The sequence below is a fragment of the Homo sapiens genome, chromosome 12 (assembly GCF_000001405.40).
Source record: "Homo sapiens chromosome 12, GRCh38.p14 Primary Assembly".
NCBI classification, from domain to species: domain Eukaryota; kingdom Metazoa; phylum Chordata; class Mammalia; order Primates; family Hominidae; genus Homo; species Homo sapiens.
The window spans coordinates 30,997,337-31,018,340 of record NC_000012.12 but is presented as its reverse complement, the minus strand read 5'-3'; the positions used below and the strand labels follow the sequence as shown (position 1 = coordinate 31,018,340).

Here is a 21,004-nt window from a genome sequence, read left to right as displayed (position 1 = left end):
ATCAAGACTGCCTGGGACCAACCCTGCAGTCCTCCTTCCCTAGGCCCACTCAGCCCAGCTGGCCAGCAAAGGCAGGCAGGGCCTCCTTGTCCACACATGAGAATGACCTGCAGCTTTTCTTTGTCTAGGCTGAGGTCAAGGATTCCCATTGCAGCTCTAGGGTGAGGGTAAAAGTTTTTGCAATTCAGTTCCTAGGAAATCTTTAAAATTAGGTCTGAGATGAGTCTGTCAGTAGTAGATTAGGTAGAGAACTTTTATACAGTTGAGGGTGAACCGTCTGGAGGGTGAACTGTCTGGTCCGGTTCTAGAACTGGGAGTAGTACCTTGGTGCCTAGCAACACATCTTTGAGAACACGCAACCAGGCTTGGTATGTGATAGAGTGTGTGTGTGTGTGTGTGTGTGTGTGTGTGAGAAAGAGAGTGTGTGAATGTGTGTGTGTATGAGTGTGTGCAAGTTGTGAGTGTGTGTGAGTATAGTGTGTGAGCATGTGTGGGTGTGTGTGAGTGTGTGTGTGGGAGCATGTGTGCGTGTCAGTGTGTGTGTGAGTGTGAGTGTGTGAGAGTGTGTGTGTGAGTGTGTGTCTTTGGATACACAGACATCCTGGAGCATATGCATATTTCCTTTCTCATTCAAATAAACCCTACAGATAACAAAGTGCTTTAACATCCGGTCTCTGCAGCCTTCCACAGGAGGCAAGGCAAGCACTATTAAGCCCGCTATAAACAGGTCAGCTGAAGCACCCCCTCAGTGACTTGCCCAGGGTCACAGGAAGAATGAGTGGCAGAGCCCCGAGCCTGTGTGCTCCCTTCTGTGCCGGGCTGCTTCTCCTGGGCATGGCTGTGCCTTGTGCATGGGACATTTCTCCTCTGATGTGCCCTGGGTGCCTTAAGCAACTTAGATATTGCTCAGGTAGGGTGAGGGGAAAATGTATTTTCAGGTTGTATTAGTCAAACCAAAATAGTGTAGACTAGATGACTTTAAAAACATACATTTATTTTTCACAGTACTGGAGGTTTGGAAGTCCAAGTTCAAGGTGTCAGTTAGATTGGTTCCTGGTGAGGGCTCTCCTCCTGGTTTGCACGCAGCCACATTCTCTTTGTGTCCTCACTTGGTGGGTAGAGAGAGACACTGTTCTCTTTTCTTACCAGATCCATCATGAGGGCCCCACCCCATGGCCTCATATAACCCTAATTACCTACCAAAGGCCCATCTCCAAATACCATTACATTGGTGGTTAGGGCTTCAACATAGGAATTTGGGGAGGACACAAACATTCCGTGTACAGCATGGGTGGAAACCCATCTCTTCCTCACCACCTGTGGGGACCACACACTGCAGCCATCAAGACAGTGGGCATGTTCTCCTTACAACTCGATCCGACTCCCCTAGAAGAGCGGACAGGGAAGGAGGGCAAAGCTGGGAGAGTTGAAGAATATTACGAAGAGAATAGGGTAGCCAGATTTAGCAAATAAAAATATAAAATGCCTAGTTAATTCTGAATTTCAGATAAGAAGAAATAATTTTTTAGCATAAGTATGCCCTTAACTAAACATGGCACAGGACATGCTTATGCTAAAGAAATTATGTATTATCTAATAATAAATTAATATTTTCTCCAATGCATATTAACTGTGCATCCTGCATTTATCTGGTAACCCTAAAAGAGAAGGCTCAGACACTCTTGAGGCAAGCCAATGGATTCCAGGAGGGACTATTGCTGGGCTTCTGGGCCCATGCTCCCTTTATAACACTTAACGGTTTTTAGCCTCTTTCCACCCTCCTTCCCTCTCTTCCTCCCTGGCTCCCTTCCTTCCTTCATTCCTTTCTTCTCTTCTCTCCTCTCCTCTCCTTTCCTCTCCTCTCCTTTCCTTTCCTTTTCTTTTCTTTCTACCAGCTTTTCCTAGCTCTTTATTGTGGTAAAATAAACCTAAGCTAAAATTTACCGTGGAAACCATTTTGAAGCACACAGTTCAGTGGTGTTAGCACATCACACTGCTGTGCAGCTGTCGCCACCAGCCATTTCCAGGACTTTTCCATCATCCCAACCTCAAACTCCACCCATGAAACACAAGCTGCCCAACTCCCGCCTTGCGTCCCCATCCCTGGCGGCCACTGCTTCTGCTGCTATGAATCTGACTGTTCCAGGCACCTCACATAAGTGGACTCATACAATATCTGTCCTTTTGCGTCTGACTTCTCTATTTAATTTTTTTAAATAAAACTTTTTTAGAGACGTGGTCTCGTTATGTTGCCCAGGCTGGTCACGAACTCCTGGCCTCTGGTTATCCTCCTGCCTCACCATGCCTGGCTTTTTAATTTAATTTTTAAAGGCAGGTAGGAACTAAGTGGGCCACAGAGGAGCTGCCTGCAGAGGTGAAGACAGTGTTGGTTGTGCTGAGAGAAGCAGGAAAGCAGGTCAGGGTGTAGGGCTGGAAGGCAGGGGCAGTTCTGGAAGGCAGGGGCCCCGGTTCTGGGAAGCCTCGCCCAGCTCTTCCGCAGCTGCCAACCCTCCCGGAGTAACGAGTGCCTGTCAAACAAATAATGGGGGTTGATATTGGGACATGGCTGCTGGCTTTATATTAATAATTGTAGTAATAAAGTTGATCGCAGGTAGGATGGAGGAGGCACCTGCCTGGTGAGGTGAGACTATGGTCAGATTCACGGAGGCATCTGCCTGGTGAGATGAGACAATGGTCGGATTCACTGAGGCTCCTGCGTGTCCCGGATTTCCTGCTGGGGGAGGATGTGCTGCTCAGCGGTTCCCACACCTGCTTCTATGGGAGAAGCAAGAAGAAGTCAGAAGGGTGGGCGAAGAAGTCAGAAGCTTCTGTTATTGGTTCGGGGAGATGCTGTGTCGGGGGCACCAATTATACGGGGAACAAACCGGTTGCCAACTCCTGACCCTTGGAGTTGACCCCACACCGCTTAAACCTCTGCGCTGGTTCCCCAGGGGCCCACAGTGAGGTCTGTAACTCAGGGAGAGGCGCTGGAGCGGGGTGTGGGAGAGCGGTGTGCAGGACGGGCTCCATGCACTTGGAAATTATAAACTGCCTTATGAGACAGGGGTACGGTGTGTGTGCATTTTCCTGGGAGACTCCATAGTTTTTACCACATTGTGTAAAGCAACGCTGTGCAGTAGAAATATTACGCCATACACAATACATATGTACAGTTTTAGTTGTCAAAGAAACTGAAAGAAGATCTTGATGAACATGGATGGCACAGATGTGAGGAAAGCACCATTATTAAAGAATATGCGTTTATGTAATGCATTAAAAGGTAACAAAATGGATAAGCAGGTAACACAATAGCAAAGACCGAGAGTGAATTGCAGTCATCCACTGGGGAACTGAGGAGTCAGGGTTTCTCATTACAAAACTCCCTGATGGAAGACTATTATTTATCAACTATTTATTGTCTTTCCACTAAACAAGAAGTGATTGTCATCTTTTCAGATGAGCGCCACAGGCTTTGCAAAAGATAATTGCCAATTAACCTTTGTGCCTGGATTTTCTAATTTCTAAAAATATTACTACATGACTCCAAAGTTTGTTATAAAGACAAACAATTGACATGATGTATACTAAAGTAACAAAAATGTTGACCACACAGGAGGGGCTGGTTACTGTCAGACTCCCTTGTTCTGTCAGTATCAAGAAAACATCTGTCCTTTAAGGTTTACATAAAGACAAAGTATCATGATGAGGTATCTTAAAATTGGTAGTACTAACAAAAATTTTGAACTCCCAGTTGTGCAATTTTAATGTGTGAAAACAATAAAACATACTGATAAATAACAAAAGCCCTATAGTCAGACAACATAGGTTCAAGTTTCGGCTTGATCTCAACTAGGGTTTCAATGTTGAAAAAAAATGCCATGTGGTCTTTCCAACTTCATTTCCTTATGTAACATTGGAGATATTAATAAATTCACTGTGATTAAGAGTTAAATGGAAGAGTTATTGAGAAGGTGTTAGAATGGTTCTAACATACATGGGTATTATGAGCCAATATTTGTAGTACCATTGTAGCATAAGGAAATACCATCTGCTGAGAGAGGCACAATAATGATTATCTTCATGATAATAGTTTAAGAGCTACCAGATACAGAATGAAGGGGCTGTAAAATGATAATGTTACGATTGATTTTGATGCTTATGCCAGAATCCATTCTAGGATAGCTCCTGCCTGAAAAGAACTGGGACTCATTTCTTTGGAATCACAGGACACTGAGTGTGGCAAAAAGAAAAGAAAAATATGGAAATCACGTAAGTGATTTTAAAAGTAAAAAGTAACAGAAGAAATTAGTGATATATTTTATTTAATCCAATATATCCAAAATATGGTCATTTTAGCATGTAATCAATATAGATTTTAATGAGATAGTCTATGTTCTTTTTTCCTAAGTCTGAAATTCGGTGTGTATTTACACTGACAGCACATCTCAATTTAGACTAGCCACATTTCCAATGCTGAGTGGCTGCATGTACCTGGCGGCTACCATACTGGACAGCACAGGTCTAAGGATTTCATTCCTGGTTCAAGACCAGACTCCTAGCCTTGGTTTTGGGTGTTTTTCACAAACTGGCCTCTCTTTATCATTCTTTTTCCTGGTACTTCCTCAAGGATGACTGTGTTCCCACCACTCAAGACCACCTGCCGTTTCACTACATACCTTTGTTCAAGCTGTTTCTTTTACCTGGGATGCTCCCTCGTTTTGTTTTGTTTTGTTTTGTTTTGTTTTGTTTTTTGAGACAGGATCTTACTCTGTTGCCCAGGCTGGAGTACACTGGCATGATCATGGCTCACTGCAGCCTGGATCGACCTCCTGGGGCTCAGATGATCCTCTCACCTCATCCCTCCTGAGTAGCTGAGACTACAGACCTGTGCCACCATGCCCAGCTAATTAAAAAAAATTTTTTTTTTTTTGGTAGAGATAGGAGTCTGTGTTGACCAGGCTGGTCTTGATTCTTCCACCATGGCCTCCCAAACTTCTGGGATTATAGGTGTGAGCCACTGCTCCCTACCTGGACTGCTGTCTCTGCACCTTCTCCCTGGGCCTGGTAGAGAGGCACACATTCTGCTAAGAGGCTTTTCCTGACTTCCCTAACCCTAGAAGGGATTTGTCCCTCCTTATCATTGTACTCATGGCTGGATTAAAGTTTAATTGTTTTTGTGGCTATTTCCCTGGCTGTAGTGTAGTGTCTTATTCATCTTTGTTGTGATCATGGTCTGCACAGAAGAGAGGATCAGTAGATGTTTGCAGACAGAATGAATAAACCACCCATCAGTCTCTTAATGCTTGAATGGGCTTGCTACTCCCTTGCTTAGATTTGTGTCTGTACAATCCTCTCACGTGGATAGTACAGTAAACACACACAGACACCCTCAGATGTGGTAACTAACAAGAAATTCATGTTAAGATGTGCACAGAAAATATCTTGTATCTTTATCCTCCGCCTCATCTTACAGATGGGAAAACTGAGGCACAGAACTAAGTTAGAATGACCAGCAAATTTCCATCAGTATAAATACAAAGAAGGGGAAAGGAGAATATTCTGAAAACGGGTGTGGTGGTCTCACACGATCGGGTTCCTCGGATGGTGGAGGATCAGTTGGCCGTGCCTTGGTTATCTGACAGGATAGAAGAGAAGTGGGAGGTGAGGAGTAGCTCCTGGGTCCTCATGAGTATTCGAGGCAGGTTCAGGTCTGAGAAGCCAAGGATATCCTTCCTGGAAGCCTGAGTTAGGAGGAGGAACTCACTGCTGGAGAAAAAGTTGAAGAGGAAGGAGGACGGACATCTCAGATCATGGGAAGTGCTGGCCTGAGCAGGCAAGGAGAGAACCATCGGGGTAGAAGAAGGGGCTGAGGAAGCCGGCAGGGGGAGCAGAGGAGTAGGTGCCAGCATGGTGAAGAGGTGCAGTGCATTATGTATGATACACATGCATCATGCACCATGTGTGTTGACTGTTGTGTGAAATGTATTTATTGGTTTCCAAGGGGCAGGGGAGAGGCTGGAGGGAGGGCAGCAGCTGTCCCACCACCAGGAGAGCTGCTCTGGCGCCAGCCTCCCCATCCTGGGGGTTCCCTGCTACAAGTCTTCAGCTCTGCTTTGTCCCCCAGAGGCCAAAATAGCGGTGCACAGCCAGGAGAGACAATGAGGAGCAAGGCACGTGGCTGGGCTGGAGGGCTGATGGTGCAGGGACAGTCAGCCTTGGGCCATCAGGCCTGGCTCTGTCTGTCCCGCCAGCTTCGGGCTTTTTATAAAGAGGCTGTGTTAGGTGAGCCTGGAGTGAGCTGTGCATGGACCTCATCTGACTGTGGCATGCCAACCCTTTGCAGAGGTGGTCTAAGGAGACGGGGACCCCGGACTGACCTGGGCTTGAATCTCCCCAGCAGCTGACTGGCCCTACCCACAGCCCACATCAAGTAATGGGAGAAGCTGACCAGGGCAACTGAAAAAGGAGCCCAACCCAGCTCTGTTAAACTTTTCTCTAGCACTTTCTTCCTTCTCAAGCCTTTGCCGCCATACACCTGAGATTGTCCCTGTGCCACCCCAAAGGTTTGTGGCCTTTGTAAGCTGGTATAGGGAGGACAGCATGGGGGCCTGTGTTAGTTTCATGGAATCACCAATGGGTTTTCCTTTTTTTTTTGGTGGCACAGGGGTCCTGTGCCCATACTGTGGGCAGTGTGACAGAGTCCCTGAGGGCAAGGCCATAGGCCTGGTGGCTGGCATGCGCTGTGATGGGAGGTGTCTGGTTCCCCGCAGGAGGCGAGTGGGTTGTAAGTAGCTGATGCCGGGCTGCAGTGAGAGTTGCCTCTAGTGTAATTTTTGATTTTGGGAGTGCCTTGGCTGGGGCTGGGAGGGATGGAAGTGGTTAAATGTGGCCTCATTGGCTGATTGGCATTTCTTGAGTTGGATACTAATTCCTTCAGGAGGTCAGAGAAGCTCCCCAGCGGCACCCCTGATCTTGACTTTGGAGGCCAGGTTAAATCTTTCAGGGGGACTACATAAGTCATGAGTATTCTGCATTGCCTAAAAGACAGCCTCCTGAGTAGCTGGGATGACAGGCATGCATCACCACACCTGGCTAATTTTTGTATTTTCAGTAGAGATGGGGTTTCACCATGTTGGCCAGGTTGGTCTCAAACTCCTGACCTCAGGTGATCTGCCCTCCTCGTCCTCCCAAAGTGCTGGCATTACAGGCATGAGCCACAATGCACCTGGCCTGGTTGTTTCTGTTGAATAAGCAAGAGCAAGAACAAATTTATTCCTCAGATCTTATATGAAAATGTACAGTAAGTGTTTCTTTTTGCTGTTGTCAATCTGTTTCTGTTCTGTTCATTGAACTTTGTTCTTAGCTCCTCTTGCCAGCTCACAATTTAACATAGGTGCTCTCCTAACCCCTCTGTTCGATCTTTATAATACAACATCATTTCCCACCTCCAGGTCTTGGTGGTGGGAGTGCTTATCTTTCTCATGAAGGGTTGGAGGAGTGGAGGGAGGGCCTGTTGGGATCTACTTTGATTTTATTTATTTTTTTGAGACAGGGTCTCACTCTGCCACCCAGGCTGGAGTGCATTGGCATAATCATGGCTCATTGCAGCCTTGACCTCCCAGGCTTAAGGGATCCTTCCACCTCAGCCTCTCATGTAGCTGGGACTGCAGGCACGTGTCACCACACCCAGTAAATTAAAAATTTTTTTCTTTTTAGAGATGGGGTCTCACTATGTTGCCCAGGCTGGTTTCAAACACCTGAACTCAAGTGATCCTCCTGCCTCAGCCTCCCTAAGTTGAGCTTACAGGTGTGAGTCACCATGCCCAGCCTGAGATCTGCTTTAAAGTTGCCCACCCTGAGCCTACCCCAGCCTACACTTGACCAAGGGCCTCACATGACTCTGTTCACTCCACATATGGGAAGTGCCTGAACTCAGAAGTAATGATTCTGATTTATATCCAGGTTGGAGTATAATTAGTAGTTGTGATTTAATGTCAATGTGGCCTGAAACTTTGCCATCTTCTCCGTCTCTGTTTATGTGTATTTAAATGGTCAGCTCCCAAGGTAGGGTGGTGACATGGCATCAGAATTTGACCCCGGGGTCCCTGAGCAAGTCACACCTCTGAGCCTTGGGTTCCTGCACCAGGGGATCATGATGTCATCTCACAAGGGTGTGAGGGGCAAATAACAGCACTTCTCAGGCCCAGCTCACATAGCACTTGGTAGACATCATTTCTTTCCTGCACTCTTCCCTGAGAGAAGTGGGGCCACTCTTACGGAGGCAGAAGTGCCTGGTTCCAGCTCCTAGCTCTGCGGGCAAGTCACTTAGCCTCAGAGGCCTCAGCCTGCTCATCTGTAAAATAAACTAATAACAGTTGTCTTACCTATCTCATACAGCTAGAAGGAGGACTAAATAGAAGAGCAGTCATAGGCTCTTAGGGCTGGAAAGGGCTTTGGATATTATTAGTTTCAACTTTTTGTTTTATAGATGGAAAAACCAAGGCTTAGAGGAGTGAATGATGCCCAGGATGACGCGGCCCGTTAGCAGCATGTGGTCAGGGTGCCGTGATGTTTGGCCTTATGACACTGCTTCGTCTAAAGGCCTACTTGTTTGTTAACTCATAAGCATATGCAGAGAGGCTCACCTTTCTCTGTGTGGCGGTGGACGGACAGATGGCCCCTCTCCTGCCATCTGCTCTGGCTTGTACAAGCCGGGCTGAAGGAGGTCATGTATCATCGCACCAAGGTGGGGTGGCACTTCTGTTGCCGGGCTGAAAACGTGTCTTGCTTGCTGCTTCCCTCCTTCATGGCTCACACAGCCCATATCTGGCTGTTTATGAACGAGATTCCCTCTGTGCCCAGCATCATGCTTGATGCTAGGACACTGCACAGAGAAGTCTGAACAGAGGCTCCTGCCCTCATGCAGCCATTTGTAGCCAGAACAGGCACCCGGCAAAAGGTCAGTGCTCACAGGGTGGGAGAATGCTCTAAGGCTGATGAGGGGTACAGACAGTTGCAGCCACTGCAGAGCAATAGGGGGTCGGCAGGCCTGGAGGAGGAGGTGGGGCTTCAGCTGGCCTTGAAGGCCCTGGATTGGATTGAGAACAGGGCAGAGAAGACAAGGAAGGCTTTTTGGGTAGGAAGATGTGCTGTGAGCAGGGTCTGGAGGCAGAGGTGTGGAAGGCGCATTTGCGAGAACCAAGGTTCATGCTGAAGAGCGGGGAGGCTCCAGGGGAAGAGCATTTTGATTTGCAGGGAGGTTTTATAGTGTTAGTCATTGGGCAGGCAGTGTCTGAGTGATTTAGCTCGTCTAACACAGCGATTGGGGTCATTATTTTGGCTCAGAGCATTGCTGAAAGCCTGGCTTACCTGTCACTGTGACCCTTGGCTTACCCACCTCAAGGATGTAATGGGGCCAGAGGGAGGCAGGTGACCTTCCGAGTCTCTCCTTCTCTTAGAAGCCTGGGTCGAATGGCGCACAGGGAACTCAGGGAAATGGGTGGGAACCCAGTCTTGCTTTAGATTCGCATTGGCCCCTTCTGTGTTGCAGAATGACTTCTCATCTCAGTCACTATCTTAATTTATTGACGAAAACTTGTTTTATGGTCCAGAGCACAGATGGCAGCAGCTCCCTGCCAAAAGAAAGCGTGCCTGCAAATCGGAAAAGCGGGCTGCCTCCCAGGAGGATGGTGGAGGGAGTAGAGCCTGTCTAGCCAGATGCTGCTGCTGGTCCTGGGTGGATGGGCTCCGGGAGGCCAGCAGAGTGGCCCCCTGATGTGCAGGCTGGGGCTGGAGCAGCTGGGGCAGTGGCAGGACCTCCTCACCTCTCTCCACTACCAGCTCCTGACTCATGGCTGCCCTGCTTCAGCCTGGTCTCTTTAGCCTAGCGCATTTAGCCTGGGGCTGCAGGCACCATCCACAGCAGCACAGCACCAATGAGGAAGGACAGGGAAGAGGGCTCTGGGTTCTGGGAGCAGGCATGGCTGTACCACAAGGAGCTCTGTGACTGTGGACATGTTTCTCTGGGGAAACTGTGGACAGGAAGCTTTCAGCAGAGGAACCTGAATTGTTCCATGCATACCTTCAAATATTTAAAGGCCTGTTTTACTTGTTCTTGGTAGATTTCTTGAGCAAAACTAGGACTGATGTGTGTTAGCCACAGGGAAGTAGATTCTTCAGGTAATAAGAAAGAATTCTTGAGTAAAGTTATGCAAAAAAAAAAAAAAAAAGAAAAAAGAAATGGAATAAGTTGTTGGAGGGTGAACACTCAGACCCTGGGAGACCCTGTGTGGCCACCTGCCTCTCTGTGGTTCCAGGGAGCTGCGGCCCTTCTGCCTACTGGGTAGCTTTGACCAAGATGCCTCTGCCCCTTCATGTCTCTCCATGTGGAAGTGGAAGCACCATCCAGTTCTCCCTCCTCCCTGGCCCCCGCCTCTATGGCTGTGAGAATGAAGGAGCTGTGGGGTCCCTGGGGGCAAGGGGCACTGAAAGTCAAAGCAGGGGCACTCCTGGAACTGACATGTTGTCCCTGCTCCCCGAGACGAAGTTCTTGGCAGGTTCATTACTAGCAGGCATGTCAGGCTGTGAAATTAAAGCCTTAAACAAAAAAGTCTTCCCATTCACTAATTTATTAAATGTTATTAAATGTTGGGCCTGGCCCTGGCCCACAGAAAGCATCGGGGAGTGCTGAGCCCTAGCATTTGAAAATCTCCTGGAAGCAAAGAGGGGATGAGGGTGGCAGAGGGGCCAAGGGGTCGGGGTGGGGGCCACCAGTGACACCCAACCCCAGGAGACTGGTTGTCTCCACAGAGAGGCATGAGGCAGTGGTGACCAAAATAGCCAGGGGATATGATGGGCTGTGATGGGGGCTGGGGCAGGTAGGGCAGACGACCTATCCCAGGTCAGTGAGGAGCCAAGGGTGACTGAAAGGGGAGTAATTTGGGGGCCCTGGGGTTTCTGGGAGTGGGGAAAATAGGGTGCACAGAGGGCTTTCTCTGTGGGTTTGTGGGTCTGGGTGTGGCCCTGTACCCGGGCTGTGGTCTGCTCAGGAACCCCCACCTGTCCCCATCACTCATTTATTCATTCCTCAAGCAAATATTTATCTGGTATTCCAGGCATATTCTAGACCTTACAGTGGGGAAAAAAAATGGGTAAGATATGAACCCAGGTCTTGGAAATGCTCGTGTTTTTAGAGAGGGTGGACAGCGAGTCTACACAGAAGCCTAGGAGGGTTCCTAATGTTCTGCTGTGGTCCCAGCCCCAGCACAAGAGGTCACCCCTGGGGAGGGGCCCCCCCTACACCGATGGGAGACTGGTGGCAGCTATGAACGGCTATGGGCAGTGGCTGTCCATGGGTCCTAAGCAGCGTGCAAGTGCGGGTAGAAGCTCAGGAGGGAGGGTAGCTTCAAGGGGAAATCGTGGGCCCCACCCCCAGAGAAATGGGATGTCTGCATGAAATATACCTATGGCAGAAACATATATTAAAACTACAACTCAATATGGTTCAAACAAAACAAGAAAAAAATGCCATAGGGATACTGGGCTAATTACAAGAATTAATAAATGAGGAGTCTGAAGTGCGGGCTCACTATACAGCCATAGCCTGACTGGCCTCAGTTTACCTGCTGTGCATGTGTTGAATGGGCCAGTGGTGATGAGGGAGACCTGAGATGCCCATTGGCTCAGGGCTCCTCCCTATGCCAGGGGCCTGCACCTTCTCCCTCCTGCAAAATCAGGGCAGGGCCCAGACAGGATCATCCTAGGAGGACAACCCAAAGGAATTGCCAAGGGTGAGGCCCCAGTCTGGGGATTTAACCACAAGTACAACAGACCCAAATCCTGGCCCTTGAGGAGGCCATAAGCAAATGCGAGGATGGGAGTTCATCTTCTCAAATTTCGATGTGGGTTTATTTGGAGCCCTGAATTAAAGTTAGTTTGAAATGCCCTCAACTGGGAAAGCAGGCAGGGGAGGCTTGATACTCAGGCTGGCCCCTAGGCCTGCCCCTGCTTGGAGAAGGGCACTGATCAGGCCTGGACCACACTGGGGTGGTTGGCGACTTCTGGTTGGTTGGTGCTGACATTGGCTGGGGCCTGATCCCCTGAGTCACCCTGCCTCGCCCTAGATTCTCCTGCCATAGACTAGATGATAGCTTGGCCATGGCCACTGAGACAACTCTGTGGTTTTGAAAGGGAATTTTCCTGAATGCCACCAGCTAAGCTCTCTGGCTCTGAGCTTTGGCTGTGCTACCACAGGCCTTGCCTCCTTCCTGTACTGGGCGTCCTCCTGCCCTGTTCCTCCCTCTCCCTTCCTGCCACACCCGGCTGACCTCTGCTCACCATTTTCTCCATTCCATGGACATTTTCCCACCACACCAGTGGCTACTCCCACTTGCACTAGGAGCGCTGTGACACCCCAACTTGTGGGGCAGAGGTCAGGCCCAGAGTGCTGAAGTGCTGAAGCTCCTGTAGAAGGTCCTTCCATGTGTCTTTCAGATCCTGGGCTTGGCCTTCTCCATAACCATCACCCAGCACATCCACTGGACTGGTAAGAAGTAGGACGTGTGTGTGGGCTGGCCGGAGTGTCCCCACAAGCCCCTCCCCACTCCCCGCTCCTCTACTGGATGCTCTGTGGAGGCAGAGGATTTGAGCTTTGTGTTGCCAGCCTGCATTCTCCAGATATGACCCCTGCGCCCACCCACCCCTGCCTCAGCCTCAGCCTTCTCAGTGGTGGAGGGGCGGGGAGGAGTTGTCGGCACAGGGAGACCTGGGGCACGGGGCACCTGGATGCCTGCGTCTGTGTCTGCATATTTGCCAGAGATGATGGGGTGGGCTGGGGTGTGCTCTGGAGGAACCCCCACCACCGATGGGTGTCTGTCTCCTGCCCTTCCTCACACTGACATTTTGTTCCCCCCATGGGGTAGGCAGCACAGTGCTTCCGCCTGTGGAGAGACTACCCTTGCGGAGGCTGCTGCTGTCCGTGGCCACTGTGGGGGAGTTGGCAGGGTGGGGTCTGCCTGCTATTGGGCGAGATCCCTTGAGCACCTCGCCAGGCTTTTTATACCTTACAGTGTAACTTCTTAACTTTATTTTACTGTGATTAATTGTTCAGGAATACTACCTCTGAGGTAAGTTAAGCGTTGGCTGTCTGATTGATAACTTTTTACTGTGTTGATTTCTTTAATGGCTTAATTTCTTTTTTCCCTAAGTGTGGGGGACCTGTGGGAATACAGGACCCCCATTCAGTCTCAGTCAGGACAAATCACTATGCAACCCCCACAAGGCTCTCAGATGAGACTCACCAGCCTTCGCTCAGAATGCGTGGAGAGGACACAGGGGTCCTGCCAGTCCTGGCATCTGCAGACAGGAGCCTGGGAGAGGCAGGTGGAGAGAGGAGTGGGAAGGAGGCTAGAGGCAACTCATCACAGGGTGATGGTGTTTGCTAACAGAGCTCAGATGCCAGAGCAGTGGGGGTCCCCTGGGGGCTGGTGAAGTGCTTTGCCAGAAATGCAGCAGAGCTGGCAGGTCCCTGTGCTTTTCACTGAGGAGCAGTTGTTGGGTTTTTCCTTCTTCCTTCCTCCTGCCCTCCACTGCATGGGAGGCCGCCCCTTCCACCACATGCGGGCCTTCTCGAGACAGGCTCTGCACACCCCAGTTCCTTTCACAGACATTCCTGCTAGAAACTCTCAAATTTCTCTCTAGTGTGGATGCTACTCACTTTCTCCCCTTGCTTCTGGGTTGGGAAGCCATCCTTAAGTTTTGCTACTCAGACAGCGACAGAGGACCCCATTGGGCAAGTGGAAGTGGCGCCCCTGATTGTTCCTGCCAGCTTCACCCAGCCACAGGTTGCCTTGCTGAGAGGGAGGGAAAGATGTCCAGTTTGGTCCTATGATCTCTATCTCCTTCCCAGGGTTCATCGACATCAGCAGTGGGTGGGTGGCAATCACATCCTCTGTGATCTCAAAGAGAAGAAATACAGAAAGCCCAAGAGAGATCAGACTGGCCCTAGACTACCATAGCCCCAGGAAGAAAGAGCTGGAGTCATGGCATGCACACAACCGGACGTGTGAGATGAACAGGCAGGGTCAGGTATTCAATGGCAGGATGCACCCCTCAGAACTGAGGCTGGTCTAGTGTAATGTTTTGCAGTTATGAAAAAGTCAAGAATCTATGGGACTCAGCATGCAAAGGTTATCCACTAGCCAGGATCCAGTGCATGTCGCTGGCTGGGGCATTGGTGGGTGGCAGCCCTTCTTCCTACAGTTGGCTCCATACCCTGGTTTCCCAGCCAGACGAGGTCTCTTCTCCAGCCTCCACCTGCCTGTCTGCTCCCAGGGCTGAGTCATGGCCACCCAGCTCCTAGTCACTCCTCTCTTCATCTTTAAGTAACATATAAATTGGGACCAGGAGGATATAACTTTTGATGTGTTCAGGATTCATATTTTTGGCAGGTGGGAGTGGGGAGTAGGCTGGTCTTAGGGTGCTGGATGGGGTAAAGACAGCTTCTCTGAGACAGGAGCCATGGTGCTGATGGAATATGAGAGAGGCACACATTTGAGCAAAACCGCCCTTCCCTAGTCCTCTGGCCGGTCTTGCTGGTAAGGAGTCCTCCCCGGGAACCCCAAAGTGCAGATTCCAGAGCAAACACACTCCTGTAGACAGATGCTCACCAAACAAGTGCTCAAGTCACCCAGTGGGACCTGGAGCATCATGTGTTTCTGATGTGGGTGGAGTGGGTAGGTTTGTTTATGTAATTTTTAGTTTTTGTTAATATCAACAGCAACAGTCCAGTGCATTGGGAGATGTGTGGCCTCCCTGAAAGTCTTGTTTCTGGAGTGCTTTAGGGGCATCCTCTGGCCCTGGAGCCTTTGCTGCAGTGTCTGCTCCCCCAGCCACCCCCCAGCTCATCTGTCCGTTTGCAGAGCCTTGTTCACAGGTCCTCAAACTGCCTTCTTGGCTCACCCAGTGCTTGGCAGTTTCATCATTTGGCCAAGTCTACATTAGGTGGAAGTCTCCATGCATAGAGTAGATGTTCCTCCAAGCCCCTTGCCTGTCCTGCAGAACGGTCCCCACACCTCCCAGAGGGCCACATCCTGTGATGCCAGTGAAGGTGGCTAAGTGTCTCTCCTCTGTGTCTCCTGACTATGATCTCATTGGGGCAGAATTCCCCTGAGTGAATTCCCTCACTGTCTGCTTCCCTTGCCAACATCAGAGTTAGTTCAATCAGGTCTGATGCAAACAATTTACAAACTTGTCTCAGAAAGTCCCTTTGAGTTTGTAGATGATTACAGTAGGATGTCTGATGTGGACTCAGCCTTTCTTTGCAGCCATCTCACAGAAGGGGTGAGCAGGCAGGGGGTGAGAACTGCCTCCGGGCGGCTGGCAGTGGGTGTCAGGGTGCAAATCTCCTCCCCACAGCCCGCAGCTGGAGCGGTGTCACCCTCTCTCCTTCCAACATGGGCCTGCATCTTGGGCTCTCTGGGGAGGTTGCTGCCCTGCCCTAGAACCTCTTGTAGATGTTCTATTTTGACTTGAAACTAGATGGCCATCCCTCCAGGTTTTGGTGGCCAAAGAGCAGTTCAGGTGGATGGAAGTGACTGTCCCTTCCTCTCTGGCCCCTATATAGGTGGAGGTGCTAACTAGCAGGGACATGGCACAGGATGGGAGCTGGGTGCCAGGTGCCTGGGGTCCATTCTTTGTCCCGCAGACCCTCAGAGTCTGGCCTGCCCCTCTGCTGCAGTGAGGCAGTAGTCCAGGATGGGTCCCTGCTCCAAACGGGCACTCTGAGGAGGCGGGGTCTGAGAGGCATCCCACTGCCCTACTGCAGTAGAAGTCTCGCAGTGGCCTTGGTTGGGTCCTGGTGTATGGGGTTTCCTTGGCTGTCACAGTCACAGTGACACATGGTAGATGAGAGCAGCTGAGAATTCCCCTTGTCCTGGGTCATTGCTAAACCCTATGTCCCCGGAGAGGAGGCAGGCATAAAGAACGAGTGTGCATGTGGGTCTGACAGCAGTTGGAAGTGGGCATCTTGAAACCCCTCTGTGTGTGGAGCTCTACCTCCTGTCCTCAAGGGGGTGGCCAGGTCCACGTGAAATTGTCCCAAGGCATCAGCCTCCAGGGCCCCATCCTGCAGCCGCCATGTCCCAAAGCCTGCAGAGACCACTCTGTGTCTGAAGGGACCCTCTGACACAGGTCCCACTGGAGCAAGGTCCCTGAGAGCCTCCCCAGGAGATTTACCGAGACAGACTCAGTGGCTGCAGGATGTGGACTGGTTAGAGGGGCAGGTGACCCCCATCATCTGTGGAAGACCAGCCAAGTCATGGGAATTTTGGTGGAAGCCACCCTGTCTCTGCTTGTTCTTGCTTTGGCTCCTGCCACCAGGTCTGTGGACCCACCTGTGTGCTTGTGGCTCACAGGGCAGTGGAAAACATCGGCCTCTCTCTTAGCACTGGGCCCCAGTCACACAAGCGGAGCCGTGGAAGACAGGCTGCCCTGGCTGTATATGAGAGGGTCATCTTCCTTCCCTGGGGACATCTGGTGACTGTGCTAGAGCCTTCTGGGATGGATCTGGGCTCTTCAGTCCATGGGAGTGGCTGGGATGACTCTGGGAGCCCCCTCACTGTTGTGTGATGTGGTGGGGGAACTGCCTCCCCACTGGTGCTCAGCAAAGCACAATTGAGAAAGGGTGGCTTACGAGCTGTGGCAGAACCCTGCCAGCCCTTCAAGTGGCTAACACTGGTGCCGGCACACACAAATGTCTATTGGCTCAGACTTACTGAATACTCAAGTAACTCATGCCAAGCACCTAGACAACAGTCAAGGAAGATGCAGACACAGTACCTGTGCTTGCAGGGCCAATCATCCAGTAGGGGCCCCAGAAGAGTGAACATGATTGCAGGTCAATGCTGATGATTATATTCACAGGATGCTGGCTGGCTGTGTGGGAGAGGCAGTGACCCAACCTGGGGAGAAGGAGGCCCTCCAGGGGAGGTGATGTTGATGCTAAGAGCTGAAGACAGGATGTGTTAGTTAACCTGGCAAGGAGTGGAAGGAGATGTGTCCTGTGGATGGACATGGTCCACAGAGTTGAAGCACAGAGGGTGAAGCGGGACTATCTGGAGACACTGCCAGATCACAACCTTGAAAACCTGGTCAAGGAGCTTCATTGAAGTTTAGGCTGAGAGCAATGGGAGCCATGGAGAGGTTTTCAGCCCAAATGTGATGGGCTCAGATCTGGCCTTTAGAAAGCTGGCCGCAGCTACAGTGTGAAGAGTGGTCAGAGGGACAGGGGAGGCTGCAGGAAGATCAGGCACAGGCGCTGCAGTGATTTAGGTGAGAGATGATAGAGCCACAGGGAAGGGCAGTGGGGTGGAGACAAAGCCAGCAGATCTGAGAGATGCACAGCCTTTGTGGTTAACTAGATTTATTGGTGGGAGAGGCAGCATTTTTGCTATTCATCCAGCATAAACAGGAAGATGACTTATTGTTTGTACCAAATGGATGGATGAATGGATTTTCTGGGCTCAGTGCTCCTGTGCAGGAGAGGGCAGAGACCAGCATGGTGTAATTAAACGTCTTCTTTTGTGTGTATTGAGCTTCATAGCTTGCAAAACATTATCGAGGTTCCTCCAGACAAAAACTATCTTATCAGCCGTCACCACCCTTGAACTTTCACCGTTAGACATGAACTGTGGTGCGGATGGAAAGGGCACTGGTTTGGGAGTTGGAGAACCTGGGTTAAATTCCCACTCTGCCTTTGGTGTCCATGTGAACCTTGGGCAGTCATTGAACTTGTCTTGGTTTTGTCATCTGCAAAATGAGAATAATGCCTATTTTACAGAGTGGCTGTGGGGATTAAATAAAAGCATGCGTATAGAGGCGTCCAGCTTGTTCCTAGACCAGGATAGGAGCTTGGCAAGAAATCGGTCAGACATGAGTCCCTAAAAAATTAAAATCAGGTCCCCAAGGAAGAGCATCCTCCAGGCTGAAAGCCGGGGATACAGGAGAGTGGTGTGGGAAGGGGGTGGTCAGGGAAGGGGAGTTGGTGTATCGAGGTGGATGAGCTGCTGCCTGCAGGAGCTCAGAGAACAAGCTTCCCCATGCCTCAGTTTGCTCTGGGTTAGCTCAGCAGCAGCACTCAATATTCCACAGAAGCAAGGGGGAAGCCAGATTAAATAAATGTCATTTTGGACTCAAAGATATTGGCACTGGGATGGTCTCTTCTTAAAGCATTCATCAATTGAGAGGCTATGGATTTAGCCATCTTGCTTTTGCTGAGTTTAATGACAGCCATGAGACAGCCTATTGTCTCCTCAAGCTAACAGAAAGAGTAACAACACTCCACAGGGCACATTTGAGCCAAGCTCTGCTGATTGATGCTGCTATTCGGGACTTCCCCTTTGTGGCTCCAGAGACTATCAGATAGCCGAGAGCCAGCGGGGACAGACCTGGACACTGCCTAGTTTCCCTTGGCCCTGTGAGAGGAGAGAGGTGAACTGGTAGAGGAAGGCTGCACAGTGGCCTGTGGTTAGTACCTGTTGCTTAGAAATTTTTCTTCTGGTTACCGAGTTCTGGAACTTACCCATGTCCAACATCCAGAGCAGGGCCAGTCCAACCAGTGGGCAAATTTCTGGAATCCCAAGACAGATGGTACCCTATTTATGGTGGTTCAAATTATGATTTTTCAACTTTATGATGGTGTGAAAGCCATATACATTCAGTAGAAACCGTACTTTCAGTACCCATACAAAAACCATTTCTGTTTTTCACTTTCAAACTAGTATTAAATAAATTACATGAGACATTCAACACTTTGTTATAAAATAGGCTTTGTGTTAGATGACTTTGCTGAAACGTAGGCTAATGTAATTGTTCTGAGCACGTTTAAGGTAGGCCAGGCTAAGCTATGATGTTTGGTAGGTTAGGTGTATTTAACATGAATTTTTGACTTTTCTTTCTTGATATTTTCTTTTATTTCTTTTCTTTCCTCTTTTTCTTTCTTTCTTTCTTTTTCTTTTTTTTATTTTCTTTTGGTTGACAGGGTCTTGCTCTGTCATCCAGACTGGAGTACAGTGGTGCAACCACGGCTCACTGCAGCCTTGAACTCCTGGGCTCAAGCAATCCTCCTACCTCAGCCTCCATAGCAGTCGGGACCACAGGTATGTGCCACCATGCCCGGCCAATTTTGTTTATTTTTTTGTAGAGGCGGGGTCTCCCTATGTTGCCCAGGCTAGAACTCCTGGACTCAAGCAATCCTCCCACCTCAGCTTCCCAAAGTGTTGGGATTACAGACGTGAGCCAACACGCCTAACTTAGTTACAATATTTTAAACTTACGATGTATTTATCAAGATGTAGCCCCATCATATGTTGAGGAGCATCTGTATATTCTCAATATATTTCTTTTCTCTGGCGAGACCCCAGTTCCTAAAATGACCCAACCTTCTTATTTACCAACGGGCAACTTGGGGAGAGGATGTTGAATTTGACCTCTGGCCCCTAACTCAGGGTTCTCTAAAGTAGAATTTGGGCTTCGTGAACTACAGTGTGTTTTAAAAGTCCAGCGGAAGTTGCTCCTCATCCCCATCACGGGAACATTAATGTTCTTGCCTCTGGCTGGCTTTATTATGTCCTTACTGCAGTGACGTTGTTATGTCCTTACTGCAGTGACGTTCCTTGCTGATGGAAAGGGCTGGATTCCCACTTCACTCTTTCCCTCTTGTCCTCTGGCCTGATGCAAAGGCCCCCACCAGGTGCCCGGCAGGATCCTCCCCTTTCTGCTCAAGCCACTGCCAGACAGGGTTTCAGCTAGAGACTGAAGCCAGAGGGAAAAGGAAATAGGGGCTTGTCATGCATTTGCTTTTAAGAAGAAAATGGCTCTTTGCCCCATGTCCTCTCCTTCCCATGGGTGGCCTCTCTCTCTTCAGCCATGGAGAGGCAGTGGGAACCAGCGTCCCCACCCAGAGGCAGCAATGACAACTTGGTCTTTGGGGCTGACATGAGGCATCAGCACTTGCTGGGAAGTAGTGGCAGCTGGCAGGCCAGCCAGCAGCCACCAAAGGCACAGCTTCAGCAATGGCATCATGCTGCCTGCCTGGCTGACAAGGCTCTTGTTGGCTGTTGGGGCTGTGTAGGCAGCAGTTGTAAGCCAGTAACAGCACTGCCTATTTGCAGCAGGAAAGGGCCTGGAGGGCACCTGTCCCTTCTTGGTACATTCGTGTTGGATGATTTGCACACACACACACGCACACACTCATAGTGATGGTGGAGGGGAGCAGGCAACTCACTCCAGTGGGACAGATGACTGTGAGCATGCCCTAGGCTGGCTCCATTCCCTTGCCCAACATCTAAACAGTCAGAAGGCCGCTGCTATGACCTTTCAGTGGACAACTGGACCTTGACCAAAGAGGCCCTGCAGACACAGGAGAGCGACTGGAGCTCCCCTGCAAAGTGGGTCCCTGCCTGGGGACCTCCCCGGGTGGATCAATGTGCTTACACCGCAAGTGGCAGGGCCCTATTGGGTTCACAGCAGCTGTGTGGGTCAGCTCTCAGCCACCCCCCTGACCACCCCCAGCCCTCTGTCTGGGGATCCCCCTGAGCCCAGACTACCTGAGTACTCTTCAGGCTCCTCACTGCCTGATATGGTTTGGTTCTGTGTCCCCCAAATCTCATGTCAAATTGTAATTCTCAATGTTGGGGGAGGGGCCTGGTGGGAGGTGATTGGATCATGGGGGCGGACTTCCCCCTTGTTGTTCTCGTGAAGGTGAGTTCTCATGAGATCTGGTTATTTAAAAGTGTGTGGCACCTATCCCCTCACTCTCTCTCTCCTGCCGCCATGTGAAGAAGTTGCCTGCTTCCCCTTCGCCTTTGCCTTCTGCCATGATTATAAGTTTCCTGAGGCCTCCCAGCCATGCTTCCTGTTAAGCCTGTGAAACTGTGAGTCAATTAAACCTCTTCTCTTTATAAATTACCCACTCTCAGGTAGTTCTTTTTAGCAGTGTGAATACAAA

The 21,004-nt window shown here is 50.0% G+C and overlaps 1 protein-coding gene and 1 long non-coding RNA gene across 4 annotated transcripts in view, besides 1 other annotated feature; one reads left to right on the top strand and one right to left on the bottom strand.

Annotated features, from left to right (window-relative positions):
- Positions 1–1,838: 1,838 nt before the first annotated feature.
- TSPAN11 (tetraspanin 11) overlaps positions 1,839–21,004 on the bottom strand; it is an 89,755-nt gene continuing 70,589 nt past the window's right edge. The window contains exons 8-11 of one of the 3 annotated variants that reach the window (XR_001748709.2): positions 13,299–13,367; positions 8,646–9,632; positions 5,585–5,635; positions 1,839–2,775 (exon numbers count right to left, since the gene is read on the bottom strand). Coding sequence is in view for 1 of the 3 variants with exons in the window: in XM_011520679.3 (XP_011518981.1) it covers positions 13,749–13,955 (207 nt within the window). In the remaining 2 variants the exon portion in view is untranslated. Of the gene's footprint in view, positions 2,776–5,584; positions 5,636–8,645; positions 9,633–13,298; positions 13,368–13,714; positions 13,956–21,004 lie in introns of those variants that run through there. The other 2 variants (XR_001748710.2, XM_011520679.3) reach the window with 2 other exon arrangements.
- Positions 5,574–5,775: a silencer, noted in NCBI's record as "fragment chr12:31165500-31165701 (GRCh37/hg19 assembly coordinates)". NCBI's record gives its function as "represses an EF-1alpha promoter that drives an FKBP-Casp9 reporter gene in an ReSE screen in HepG2 liver carcinoma cells {active_cell/tissue: HepG2}" and the evidence as "EXISTENCE:reporter gene assay evidence [ECO:0000049][PMID:32094911]".
- The window catches only part of TSPAN11-AS1 (TSPAN11 antisense RNA 1), a 27,665-nt gene continuing 19,029 nt past the window's right edge, over positions 12,369–21,004 (top strand). The window contains exons 1-2 of the long non-coding RNA XR_007063261.1: positions 12,369–12,544; positions 19,037–19,154. This is a non-coding gene — a long non-coding RNA (TSPAN11 antisense RNA 1). The remainder of the gene's footprint in view (positions 12,545–19,036; positions 19,155–21,004) is intronic.